The 14,345-nt window shown below is 40.8% G+C and overlaps 1 protein-coding gene across 10 annotated transcripts in view, besides 1 other annotated feature; it reads right to left on the bottom strand.

The window, feature by feature from the left end:
* The window catches only part of PPP2R2B (protein phosphatase 2 regulatory subunit Bbeta), a 500,779-nt gene that overhangs the window by 215,586 nt on the left and 270,848 nt on the right, over window positions 1–14,345 (bottom strand). The gene's annotated exons all lie outside the window — the stretch shown is intronic.
* Window positions 370–1,164: an enhancer, noted in NCBI's record as "OCT4-NANOG hESC enhancer chr5:146176260-146177054 (GRCh37/hg19 assembly coordinates)". NCBI's record gives its function as "activates a minimal SCP1, AML or CMV promoter by ChIP-STARR-seq in naive H9 embryonic stem cells {active_cell/tissue: H9 hESC(naive)}" and the evidence as "EXISTENCE:reporter gene assay evidence [ECO:0000049][PMID:30033119]".

A 14,345-nucleotide genomic window follows, 5' to 3' on the forward strand; every position in this document is an offset into this window, starting at 1 on the left:
GCAGAACTTAAAACCACCCACCTGGCCTATGTGCAATGCACTTTTTACCAAGTGATAAGTTTAAGTTATTATGAGATAGAACACCACTTCCGTGGCATCTGACTGCTCTAGTAGCTACAAATGGCAAACATTCTTCTTCTTTTAATTTACACTCAGAGTGCCCACAATGTGCCATATACTGTGCCAAGGGCCCTGGGGAAAGGTAAGGCAAATAAGGCAAAATCTCTGAGCTAAAGATAAGCCACAGAATATACTATTTCTCCAACAAATACCTAGCAGAGGACCTGGCTCATAATTGATGATTAATAAGGATTTGCTGAATGAACAAATGTACAATTTGGGAAGTCCTATTTACAAACCTAGGGTAGAAAAGGAAACTAATCAAGCCAAATTTAGGAAGTCTCTGTTCCCAGTTACCACTGCCAAAAACCATTATTTGTTTTGTAGCTTCTAAGTCTGGCCAGGAAGCACATGTTTTTTCTTAGTTAGGCCATTGATTCTTAGTGAGTACCATCACCTTGTGATTATTGCTACTAATTAAGGTCCACTCTGAACTTTTATAGTAGTGAGAGTGACTTAATATACCACCATTGGCAATGAGAAGAATCAGCTTGATTTCACCAGCCTGTAACTCCATCCCATAAGTTCTCCACCTTTTAAGGTGGAAGTAGTAAATCAGCTAAACTCTTCCAAAAGTTTTGGGAGTTGACCCTTTGTTAGCTCTCAACGTTCCCACTGTGTTCTCACAGCATGAAAGTGCTCCACCATGATCCATACAATAACAGGCACTGTTCCACTGAAATCAACAGAATAAAGGGCTCTTACATACCCCTTTTCAGCTATTATTTGTAGTGTGACTACAATCATGCTTTAGCTTTCAAGACACTCAAGAACTTAAGGATGCACCATCTGTGGATTCTTGTCATCACATAAAGCAAATAATTGCTTTTTAAAAAATCCATGCCACTATTGCTAATTTTTTCATTTCCACAAGCTACCCTGCTAAACAACCTCTGGGTATTTACATAGCATATTTGATTATGCAGTGGTTTTGTGTGTACTGAACATTATACAGTGAGTCCATGTATCCTGAACTCACCATCTGGATTTTTCAAACCAACTTGCCTGCTTTCTTTTATTTTTAGCAGGAGGATGATAACACCCATCTTTCTGGCCTCTGGAGGGATTAATACTCACAAAAGCTGTAAAGCTGAAAGACTCTGCATCTGTGCTGAATATGATATAACAAGGTATATTTGTAACCTCGTGCTTAAAGAGACCTATCTACTGGGCATCTCCGACTACCAGCAGCTAAGCACATTATTGTCATCAAATGGTATTTATTGAACATGCAGTAACTGTCTGGTGAGCTCCAAATTAATGGGGGACTCCTGAGAACCTAATTTTAAAACATTATCTCCCTCTTTGTTATCTGTATTTGTTTGTTTCAGAGCCTGACATGTTAATTGGGGCTCAGGACTCCAACGCACAACTGCAATTTTCCTTTTGAAAGCAAGAAAGCGGCTGCCTAAAGACAGCTGGCTTAGCTCCTGGAGTTCAGAGGTTGGCAGGGAGCTGTGCAGCCACAAGTGCCAGTAAGTGCCATGAATACGGCAGAAAACTGGAGCTTGTCTCAGGTACAGGCTGAGAAATAGACAAACAAACCGTCAATCTCCTTTCAGAGTCTCCCTTCCCATAACTACTCCATCCGAGACAGGCATTTGTCTTATTTTTAGTCTCCTCCTCAGGAGCTTTCCATTTTTATCCCTAGTATCTTTGGGGACTTGGTGAGTCTGGTTTTGAGCCTCTAATTGGCTTTTACCCTCTAATTCTTTTTCATTCACCCAGAAGGCAAATTGGCCCTTTCCTTGTCTACTTTATCCCAATTTCTTTCACTCGGTTGCCTCATTTTGTTTTTCATCTTCCAAGGAGACTTACCCTCTTCTCTCCTCTCACGTATCACTGGAGATCTGTCAAGCCTGCCTTAACCCTGACTTCCTTAACCTTCCCCTGATGAAGGCTTCCCCAGCTGGTAATTTATTTCTCTAATCCACAGCTTCCACAGTACTTGGTTTGGATTTTCTCTGTAATACATTCTAAGATGATTTATACCCATTGATAGGCATATGCAGAAGATAAATCTTCACACACCATACAGCACTCACCAGCATACTGAGCCTAGAGCAGGAGCTTAAATTATTCTTAGACAAATGAATGCTATCATTTAAATATTATAAGTACTTTACAAAAAGAATGTTTTACCAATGATAAAATCAACACCTAACATAATCTAACAGTGCATTAACACTGAGAACAAACAAAATTATCAACAGTAGCAACTAATATTGACTCAGCACTTAAGAATGCTCTAGGCACATAGCGAGATGCTTTGCTTGGATTATCTCTTTGAATCCTATCAATAACTTGATGAGGTAGGCACTAATATTATAGAAGGGAATTGTAGCTTCAGGAATTAACTTTCTCCAGGGTATACAGCTAACAAATAGTAGATCTGGGAATCAGGTCCATGTCTGTCTGACCTCAGAATTTGCTATCTTAGCCACTTCACTTCTGTCTTCTTTTTCCTTGTGAGCCTGTTTAAAGGGATCTAGTCAGGCTCAACCAGAGTGACTTTGAGAATTTATAAAACCATATATATAAAAATAGGTGACAGATACACTGAATACTCCGAGGTGACTTTTTAATTTCTGTAGAAAATATCCTCTGATTCCCATTCCGGGGCAGCCAGAACAAAGCAATGGCCAAAGAAAGTTTACTTACTCCCCAGTTCTTAGATGGAGTTATGATTTCTTCACTAAACAATGAGGAGGCCAACCTAGGTTCTTAGAGCAAATCTTGTTTTCTAGCGATGAACATATTTCTCCTTGTCTTTGACTTAGATGTTATTTGCACTAGCCTAATTTAAATTGTTAACACAGTACAAATTTTAACAGAAAGACAGAAAGAGAATGAATATGAAAGATTTGGGCTGCTGCTGGTGATAGTGGGGAGCTCTATTTACTTTTGGTTAAATGCCAGTGCTGTAAGAGTCCAAGGTCAGTAAAAGAGGTGTGAAACCAATTAGGGTTTCTCAGCTTCTGGCTGCTGGAAGATATGCATATTGCACACCCAAAATATACAGTTTTGTAAGGAGGTATCGACAGGCTACAGTCACTCTGCCATGCTGCACAATGGCATGGTGCCAATCTAGCCTGAGACAACACATGTCCACTCATGAGTTTTGGGTTAAAAGTGCTGCAACCCAAAAGAACAGAGGTGAACAAAAGAGATTCAGCAAGACTGGGAATGAAGCATGAATCACAGATAGAGGAGATCACCATCAAAAGCTTAGGAAAAAATCTGCCAAAGCTATATAGCTCTCTGCTAATGACTATGATTGTAATTTCTGCATATTTTAACAGATGTTCTGTTTATAAAACTGCAAACGAATTTAGGGGTTATGAGTAAAGCCAGGAGGCCCTGGAGATGTTTCTTTGTATGATTAACTGACCACAGGCCATTTGTTTTACAACAAAGATGCACAATGATCCATAGTCCATGATTTATACCAGCCCATGTATACTAACGGCTGATGTCTCCATGGTACTTCTCATTAGCATCAGAAGAGGGATTGCAGGGAAACAGATTATGGGAATTGCTCTCCCATTGCTCAACACGATAGTTCATTAGTGGGTGTGGAATCGATCTGAAAAAAAACCTAAGACGATAATCATAAGCTGAAATTTGAATTATTATAACAATTAAGGAAGTCAATTCAATCATGAAAGAAATAATATGGATTTTTATAGCTCTAGGTCCATGCATCTTGATAATTGGAAATGAGAGGATTTTCTGTAATTTCCAAATAAAAGATAAATATAAATAAAAGATAATAATAATAAACATAATATTACTGACTTGTACTGATTACCTATCTATGGATCAAGCATTCTGGTGGGTAATTTATATAAATTATCTCACTTCATCCTCACAACTGTGTATTGTAAGGATCCCCGGGTACTGGTACCAGAATGGCATCAAGGTTAGGGGCATCCCAGGCTGCTGGCTATTTCTTTTCCTCCTCAAGACCCTTCTTCTTGGAGGGCACTCTCTAATGCTGTCTCTACCAAATTAATTTTCTCTGCTTCCTCATAGCCACTGCTGCCTCATTACTTCACAGCTCAGACTTGCTCTCATAGTCTCATTTCACCTTAAGTTCTCAGAGCTAAATACCCTGATGGTATTTTTTTCTGGTCTCAACTCCCAAGAGAAGAAATCTGATAGACTCAGCTAATTTTTTTTGGGGGGTGGGGGGGTGGACTAGGTCACATAAAAAGTCATAAGCCCATCTATCGATTGGTTACCTTTCTGTACTCCTGCCCTTCGGTCTAATCAGCTGTGCTTGGATGGGGTAGGAATGACTAGGGGTTCAAAATAGGGGGGCTCTCCAAGGAAGTGAAATCAGGATCTCCAAGAGAGATCCACATTCTCATGCTCATTGCAACACCATTCCCAATAGCCAGATATGGAAGCAACCTAAATGTCTGTCAACAGATGAATGGATGAAGAAAATGTGGGGTATGTGTACATACACACACACACACACACACACACACACATATACACACATGTATATATATGTGTGTATACACTGGGATATCATTCAGCCTTTAAAAGGAAGGAAATCCTGGCATTTACAACAACATGGATGAACCTGGAGGACATTATGCAAAGTGAAATAAGTCAGATGCAGAATGACAAATATTGCATGATCTCACTTATATGTGGAATCTAAAATAGCTAAACATAAAAACAGAGTAGGATAGCAGTTACCAGGGCCTGAGGGGGTGGGGAAGGAGAACATGTTGGTTAAGGGGTACAAAGCTTCAGTTATACAAAATGAATAATTTCTGAAGATCTGATGTACAGCAATGTGACTATAGTTAACATTATTGTATTGTAGACTTGAAATTTGCTAAAAGGGCAGATATTAAGTGTTCTTGCCATATATACACAGAAAAAGAGGCAACTATGTGAGGTGATATATATGTTAATTTGACTGTGGCTAATATTTTATGACACATACATCAAATCAAGTTGTATACCTTAAATATACACAATTTTAACTGTCAAATATACAATAAAACTAGAAAAAGAATAGGGCCCCTTTATAACCTTTTAAGTGGAGACTGGAGCACAGAAGATGCCCTTGGATGGGGAAATCACCATCAGTAAATACAGTTCATGCTGAGGGTGATGGGAAGATACAGGCTGTGGGGTCAGGCCGCCTGCCTCTGCCTCTTATTGGCTGTAGGACCTTAGGCACTTATGTTAAAAGACTGAGCTTTATTCACTCACCCATAAAATGGAAATATTACAATTACCTACTTAATAAGGGTGCTATGAGAGTGAAAGGGATGTACAAATGCTTAGCACAGTGCCTGGTGCAGAATCCCCACTTAATAAATGCTGGCTATTATCATAATCCCGTTAATACATTTTATTAATAACAAATTATAATTGCAATAACAACTTCTCCAGAGCTAAGCCCAAATTCGAAGATGAGTTAGTGCTCCAAGTGGCCCCACTTAACCATGCTGGAATGAAAGGGAGGAGCAGCTGCATGTGTCTGTCATTCAAATCAATGGGGTAATTCTGTTTTTATTGTGAACAGACAAAAGCTGTGTCCTCGGCTGGGTCCAAATGATGAGATTCTTTATGACTAACTGAGGCAGAGGTGATATTCTCAGACCTTCCTGAATGACCCACACAAACACCCAATGGTTCTTGGAGCTTAAGGAGTAACAATCTGACTGAGGAAGTCACCACAAATTTCATGCTCTAGTCCCAGTTTCACGCCCCCTTTTCTCGCATCCAGAGTCTTATTTCCCAAATTTGCTTTCCCTGCTCTCTCTAGAATGCATTGGATACTTCCATTGGAAATGTCTAGGTCAGTACCTAACATCTGGCATAGCTATCTCCAAATTTGTTGGATAATTAAATTCTACCCAAGAACTCAACAGGGGGGTGGCAAATGAATACCTGAGGGCACTGCCTGGCTTTGGAAATTTGAGTGCATATTATCACTATTTGTGTGTATTTGTGAGCACAAAAGAATTAGTAAGTGCTCCTGAAGCATCATCTCATTCCATCTGTTGTCAAAGTTCACATTAAGCACCAAATCCAAGGGAGCATAATGAGTTATGTGAAAATGAACTTGTGCTTGGAATTTCAGTATCCCCAGGTGATGCAAATAGGCACATTTCAGCTTGTTCTGAAGAATCCCAGGCTCTGGGACCTGAACATATGGTCTAAGTTATTTAGCCAGATAAGACATGGGATTTCCTACAAGTAGGGTTTTGTCAGCAGGTTGGTAAACAGTTTTTCCTCAGCTTGGACACTCCATATCATGGTGGGGATGGGATAAGTATATAGTGAGGTCTTTCCATAAAGGACATGTTTACAAAAAAGGAGATCAAGCCTTTAACTTGTGCCCCAAGGCTCAGAAGCCAGCACTAGTTAGTTATGCAAGTATTTTGAACCCACAGGACTTCTGGGGAATTGGAAGGAGTCCAACCTGGCTATTAGAACTAAGCTTCGGATAAATTTTACTCCTGTCCTCACTATCAACATTAATAAAATGTTCAAGGAGCTGGAACCAGAGCCATAAAGAATGTTCATGTCAGAGAAAGCAGGATACACAGGGACAAGAGGAGTGAAATTCAGCTTATGAATTGTTCCCTTCATATGCTCCAAATGCTACTTCTCTCTCCAAAACATGTTTATTCCATAGAGCGCATGCCTAATGCCATCCACACCTAAATGCTTTACAGCTACTATTATTTAGCTGAAATTAGAACACTTTTTAAGTATTAGGAGATCAAATCCCCAGGCAATTTGTAATGCAAAATTTCCCCACATTTTGTATTTCTCAGTGCTGCCTGAAACCCGACATTAGAACTATGTAAGCCCCAGCAAATGCCTCATGTCAGGGAATGTTCTAAGAGAGTGCTGGGGATTATCAGCCACATTTGTTAACTTTAGTACAATTTAGACACTTTTAAAGATAAAGGTCATTAATATTTTAACATAACATTAAGTTTAAATTCAGAACTGAGAACTGTTATGAGAATCTAACCAGTTTTAATTCGGCATTTAATAAAATTTATTTATGTTAAAAGAAATACTGGGTATCAGGAGAAAAAAACACAATAGAATGAATATTTGAAAATATTATATTCTAGCTAAGTCATGCAGCTTTATTTAAGTCATCATTAGCAGGCCTAGCAAGTTAAATTTTTCAAAGCCCTATGACATGTGCAGCTCCTAAAAATATAAGGAAAGCTTAGCCCAGTCACCCTGGGGTAATGGTAAGGAATACAAGACCAAGTTAGGCATCCCTGGGTTAAAGCCTGCCATTTATAAACTATGTGGTTTTTGGCAAATTATTTTGCATCTCTAGACCTTGGTTTTTCTATCTGCAAAGTAGGGAGAAATAACAGTGCTTGCTTCATGTAGTTGTTGTGAGGAAATCAGGTAATAATTATATAGTTAAGCTGGTTGGGCACGGTGGCTCATGCCTGTAATCCCAGCACTTTGGGAGGCCGAGGCAGGCAGATCACAAGGTCAGGAGATAAAGACCATCCTGGCTAATACGGTGAAACCCCGTCTCTACTAGAAATAAAAAAAATTAGACGGGCGTGGTGGCCAGTGCCTGTAGTCCCAGCTACTTGGGAGGCTGAGGGAGAAGAATCGCTTGAACCCGGGAGGTGGAGGTTGCAGCGAGCAGAGATCATGCCACTGCACTCCAGCCTGGGTGACAGAGGGAGACTCTGTCTCAAAAAAAAAAAATTATATTATATAATTATAATTATTGCTAACATTTATTGAGCACTACTTCCTATGCACTAGGCATTGTTATAGGCATTTTAAGATACATTATTTAATCCTCACAATAACCCAATGAAGTAGGTACTTTCATCTCTGTTTTTAAAGATGAGAGGAATCCGATGCTTAGAGAAGACCAGTGACTTGCTCCAGGTGTCACTACTAGCATCTGGCAGACCCGGGACTGGAACCCAAGGCCATCTGTGTACAAAGTTTGTAGTTCTGTTGCCTGCCCTCTCCCCTCCATCCCCTCTAACCCTGCTCTGATCCATTGCCTTTTAAATTGACTATATTTTCAATAACAACATAAACACCTTGAGAGCCAGGGTTGTGACTTGTCACTCAATAAATATTCGCCGGATGGATTACTGACTCTTCTGATGTTGTTTAGAAAGACAAAATCAGAATCTGTTTAGAAGCAATGAGGAGTCCCTTAGAAAGCTTAAACTGAAGTGAGGATGGAGACTGTGGATTTTCTGATATTATTATATATTAGACATGAATCTCTTCAAACTGGAACAAAAACTGGTAAACAGAATAATTGCAAAATATGTGCCAATGGCCTTGAAATCAAAGAGGAGCAGGTCGCCTGAGGAGAAGCATATGTTTAATGCTTCACACTCCATGATGAGTCCTGGAGAAGAAATGAGGCTGGGCAGAAACAAGGCAGCCTATGTGGGGTTCACATCCAGAAATGAAGAAAAGCATTCTAATAATTTAATTTGAGGGGAATATAATTTCTCAAACTCCAAGAGTTGCTTCAGCCTTCAGAAAAAAGCTGTTGGGTCCCAAGATGGCACCATAAACAACGGCAATTCTCCTCCTCAAGCTGTGAGGTCAGATTTTATGTGCTGGGAAGAGATTAACTTTATTGCAAGGAGAAGGATTTAATTGCAGAGAGTGATTAGCCAAATGCTTAGATCAATAGAATGCAGGTCAAACTGTGCTCAGAAATATCCATGGCTCTTATTACATAGAAAGTTGAGGACACAGAAACCATTTGGGGACCCTGAGCCATTTGTGCATGAAGTCATCTGCAAACCTTTCCCTAGACCGCAGAAGCATCCTTCTCTTTACCCAGCAATGATGGCATGCTGACTCAAGGAACATTCACCCCTCCCCCCAACTCTTGGCATTAGAGAAAGTCAATAAAACAGCTGGGATCCTTGAATGCTGTTTTCAAAAGTAGAGAAAGGATCCTGCCTGGTCTAGCTCTTTGTTGTCTAATTGCAACAAAAATCAATGGTTTTGAAAATGGAAAGCAGATAGATCATTCCTCATTTATCCAAGATATTTGAGCAGAAGATGGAGTGACATTGTCTAACATGCTTTAATTTTTGCTCTCACCAAAGCCCTCTTTATTCAATGAGTCTGTGTTTGCACTGTTCTTATGAAGAAATTCATTGATAGCAATGGAATATGGTAAAGCAGATGAGCCTGTAGTACAAATTGCACCCTAGGAAAAAAATGGAGTGGTTTAAAAGTGGTATTTTACGTAAATGATACCTTACTGGCTAACCAGGCATCCCAACAAGTTGAGACTATGCAGAGGGGATGTGGCTTAAGGGGAAGGCTGTGTTTGCCAACTGGGAGCTCTAAATATGTTGCTTCACCTGTGATCTACACCTGACAAGCAGAGGCCCCAAATTCCCTTAATTATCGGCAGCTCGATGAGTCTGACTTCCTAGTTCTTATTTATTTCCTAGAATCCAAATCACATGATGGAAAAGACCTAGAAAAGTGTCAAATCCCTACCTTGGCGAATAAAGCCAATAAAGAAGTAACATCAAGAAAAAGGCCAACTCTTTCAGAATTTTCTGGGAGGCTTGCAGATAACATTTTACTCATCCTGAAAATACATTTGTGAATTTGGTGGATGACAAAATGAACTGAGTGTGCCACTGAACATATGAAGAAGCTAGGGAGACAGTGTGTGTGATGCGCACATACACACATGTGCACAAGCAGAAACACGCCTTTATGCAAGGTCACCTAGAGTCAGTGATAGGGCTATGAATTGTGCTAAGTTTCAATCTCTCCCACCAAGTTGTTTTAAGAAACTGTGCATCTCAGGCCTACCAAGGAAATGTATTCTTCTCCCTGATAGTTTGATGCTTCATTTCCACCTTTCCTAATAAGAGCTGTCATTAATTTTAGGTTGCCTAGGACTAAAACATACCTCCAGGAAATAGCTTGTGTATAACCTTTAAGGTATTGCTCAGCTTGTAAAATGCCTCTAGAATCTTGCTTGTAATATAAAAAAAAGAAAAAAAAGAGGTACCTGACTCTTTCCATTCCTTCATGCTTTTGCTGCATGGTCTGCTATGCAGACTGACCCCAAAGTCCTTATAAAGTCTTATGTTGTTGGCCATCATCATATCCAGCCTGGAGCTTTCCCAACATTAAAAATGAAGCAACAGAGGTGCTGTGATATAATGGAAGGTACTCTGGGAGAAGAGTCAGCATACTGGAATTTTTGCTGCAGCTTAACTAGCAGTCACCAACCAGGATAGTATGAATGAGTGGAGTAATCTCTGCCCTTTTTTATCCTTGGCTGACAAATGGAAAAAGGACATGACAGAATGTCGTTTTGCAAACTGCTGAGTGTCATGTAATGCAAGACACTGCCGCCACCTGAGGAAGTATAAAAGTGCCCCCGACAGGGGAGCAGGCAATAGGGGACCTTAGTTTTAGCCTTGGCTCTACTTCTCATTGTCCCATGACCTTAGGTCTACCCCTGTGGGTCTCCATTTCCCTATCTGAAAAAGAGGGTATTGGTCTTATGACCTAGGTGCTCTGAAACCTTGTTACCCTAAGTATGGATCCTAGACTAGGAGCCTTTGGGAGACCTGGGGGCCTGGCAGAAATGCAGAATCTTGGCCTCCACCCAGACCAACTGAATCTGAACTTGCATTTTAACAAGCTCCTCAGATGATTTGTTTGTACATGAAAGCTTAAGAATCACTGGTCTTCAAGATCTCTTCCAGATTTTTCATTCTATAATTATACTATAAGTGGTCCAGTGTAGTGCACTGTCACAGAACATCTATTTCATGAGACAGTGGCATAACTTGCTATTCATGGCTAAGGAGGCATGGCAGTATGTTTTTGCTTATAGGTGTACTTCAGCACAGTCACATGAGACCAGTCAGTTCTGGCAGAGGAAAAGTTTGTCTTGGTTCTTCCCTATCTTTTTCTCTCTGATCACAAAGCTCACCAACACTGCTATCCAGTTGTGGGTTTAGATATACAAGATGATCATATTTCATATTAAAAGATAATGTCAAAGTTGCTAAGATAATAACTTATGCCAGGCACAGTATTAAGTACTTTCATATAGACCTCATTTCATACTTAAAACAGCCCTGGGAGTAGGTTCTATTGTTATGTTCATTTCACAGATGAGAAATGTGGATCTTGGAGATGTAACTTGCCCAAATTCCAAGCCAGAACGTGACAGAGCTGGGATTTGAATACAGATCTGACTCACACCAGAGTATGTGCTTAACCACCAGGGATATGCCCTCTCCAACTCCTTGGTTAAACCTCCTGGGGTGCCTTCTTTTTTTTTTTTTTTTTTTTTTTTTTTTTTTTTTTTTTTGAGAAGACAGTTTTGCTCTTGTTGCCCAGGCTGGAGTGCAATGGCACGATCTCAGCTCACTGCAACCTCCGCCTGGTGGGTTCAAGCAATTCTCCTGCCTCAGCCTCCCAAGTAGGTGAGATTACATGTGCCTACCACCACGCCCAGCTAATTTTTTGTATTTTTAGTAGAGACAGGGTTTCACCATGTTGGCCAGGCTGTTCTTGAACTCCTGATCTCAGGTGATCTGCCTGCCTCAGCCTCCCAAAGTGCTAGGATTACAGACGTGAGCCACCGCACCCAGCTATCTTCTCTTAAATATTCTCACTCCACCTTTGTGTCCTCACATCATTCTTGCTATTTCAAACCCAGTCATACAATATTTTAGGTTTGTGCCGTCCAATGGGTTAATCAGTAGCCACATACAGTGATTCAAATTTAAATTAAAAACTCAGTTTCTTATTTGCACTAGATGACATTTCAAGGGCTCAACAGTCACATGTGCCTAGCGGCTACCATGTTGAATAGCACAGATATAGAATATTTCCATCGTCAGAGCAAGTTCTATTGCATAGTGTTGTTTTAGAGAATCCAATTGCTGAAAATCATCACTCTATCACTGGCCTTGTTCTGTGTTTCACTGCTTCTCAGTATTGAAAGCTCTACTGTTAAATGCACACATTTAGAAAAGATACCTCAGAGCCCCATTCACTAAGAGGTAAGAGGCTGTCTGGAAAGGAAGAACTGACCAATCCTGAATAGCCAACAAACTGGGAGTCCTAAAACTTGACCCTGACTTCAAGTTCAAAGACAGCATCCTAGAAGCCGGGGCTCTGGCGTGTGTTGCCAGCCTTGCCAGCCTTGGCTCTCATGGTTCACTGTGACAACTCCTCATTTCTATCAGGGGAAAGAAAGTCCAATCAGGCAAGTTTTATTTCCTCTCTGAAATAAAACAGAATTGACTTGCCAAGGTATCTGCAGGGACATCAACTGTTGGGCCTTAAATTACCTGGTAACTCTTCTAGTCAATTCTACTTTCATGTTGGAGTTTGCAATCAACATTTATCTCTATAGGACAGACCGTCTGCAGGTTTCTAATACCATTTTTATTATTACCTTGTAAATGTAAAATCCTCGAGGCAGAAATGCCAGCTGCTAACACTGGTGTGTGTGTGTGTGTGTGTGTGTGTGTGTGTGTGTGCGCGCGCACCCACTTCTCCAGTGATGAATGTCCTTGGGTCCTGGAGTTTCCAACAGCAACAAAAAGACATACCAAGGACTTGCCTAGAAATTATGTATTGTATGGATCCAATGTCAGGGGCTTTGGGGGCAGCTTTCTCTAGTAGACCTGCTGAGACAGAATGACCTTCCCTTTCTCCGCCAGGGTAAAGCCTTCTATGTGGCCGTCAGGCTTTCTGCTTTGGAAATTAAGGCAAATAATGGAGACAGAAATTCTTGGCAAATGCTCACAAGCAGACACTTCACAACTGTCTCTCTGACAGGTATTAATAAATAATAGTTATCATTTATTGAAGCCCAACTTTAATTTCTCTGCTAATTTAGAAATTCATCAAGTCTCTACTAGAATAGTTCTGGGTCTCAAAGAGCAGCCAACCCAATGAGGAAGGTAGGTATTTAATCTAGTAAGCACCCAAATAAATGTATATTGACTAATTATAATAATGGCTGGGAATGAAAAAAATAAGGCACTATGGTAGCAATGAAGAAAGGAGGCCTTATTTAGAGGGAGTGGTCAGAGAAGACCCTCTCTGAGGAAATGACGTATCAGCTAAAACTGGAAGGACGAAGCAGCTAGCCTGCAGCCAGAGCTTAGTAAGCAAGGAGTGGGCCACGAGGCTGTGGGCACACAGAGACCAGATCTTGCGAGGTGAGTCTTGGTAAGGCGTTTGCTACTAAGAACAACGGGAAATGATTGGAGGGTTTGAGGCAGCAGGCTGACAAGTGCTTCATGTTTTTAGAAGATCACTCTAGCTAAAGTGTGAAGAATGGATTGGAGGTTACATGGAGCAGAGAGTGGAAGCAGGGAGACCCGGTAGGGGCTCTGTCTGTAGTGCAGGTGGGAAATGGCAGTGGCTTAGACTCACATGGTAGTACTGGGGATAGAGATAAGTGAAGAAATCTGTGAGATATCTTGGGGGAGTACAAAAAAGGACTTGCTAGCCAATCTGTTGTGTGGGGGTAGAGTAAGGAAAATCAGAAATCAAAGATGACTCTCAAGTTTCAGGCTTGAGAAGCTGGTGGGTAGTGGTGCTGTGTGCCAGAACTGGTTTTGCATTCATAATTTGCAAGCCTGACAATTAGCCTTGTGAAAGTCAGGTATTGTTACTAACATCTCCCTTTACAGATTGTGTATTAGTTCGTTTTCACACTGCTGATAAAGATATACCTGAGACTGGGCAATTTACAAAACAAAGAGGCTTAATGGACTCACAGTTCCATGTGGCTGGGGAGGCCTCACAATCATGGTGGAAGGTGAAAGTCACGTCTCATATGGTGGCGGGCAAGAGAAGACAATGAGAGCCGAGTGAAAGGAGTTTCCCGTTATAAAACCATCAGATTGCGTGAGACTTACTCACTACCATGAAAACAGTATGGAGAAAACCACCCCCATGATTCAGTTATATTCCGCTGGGTCCATCTCACAACAGGAGGCAATTATGGGAGCTACAATTCAAGATGAGATTTGGGTAGGGACACAGCCAAACCATACCAGATGCGGAAACTCAGATAGAGCAAGTAATTTGCCCAAAGTCACACAGCTGGTGAATCGTCCAGCCAGGATTTGAACGCTTGTCTATGAGCAAAGTTCATGTATGCTCTTTCCTTCACCTTCACTGCCTCATGACTGTGTTTTCTC

The sequence above is a fragment of the Homo sapiens genome, chromosome 5, assembly GCF_000001405.40.
Source record: "Homo sapiens chromosome 5, GRCh38.p14 Primary Assembly".
Lineage (NCBI taxonomy): Eukaryota > Metazoa > Chordata > Mammalia > Primates > Hominidae > Homo > Homo sapiens.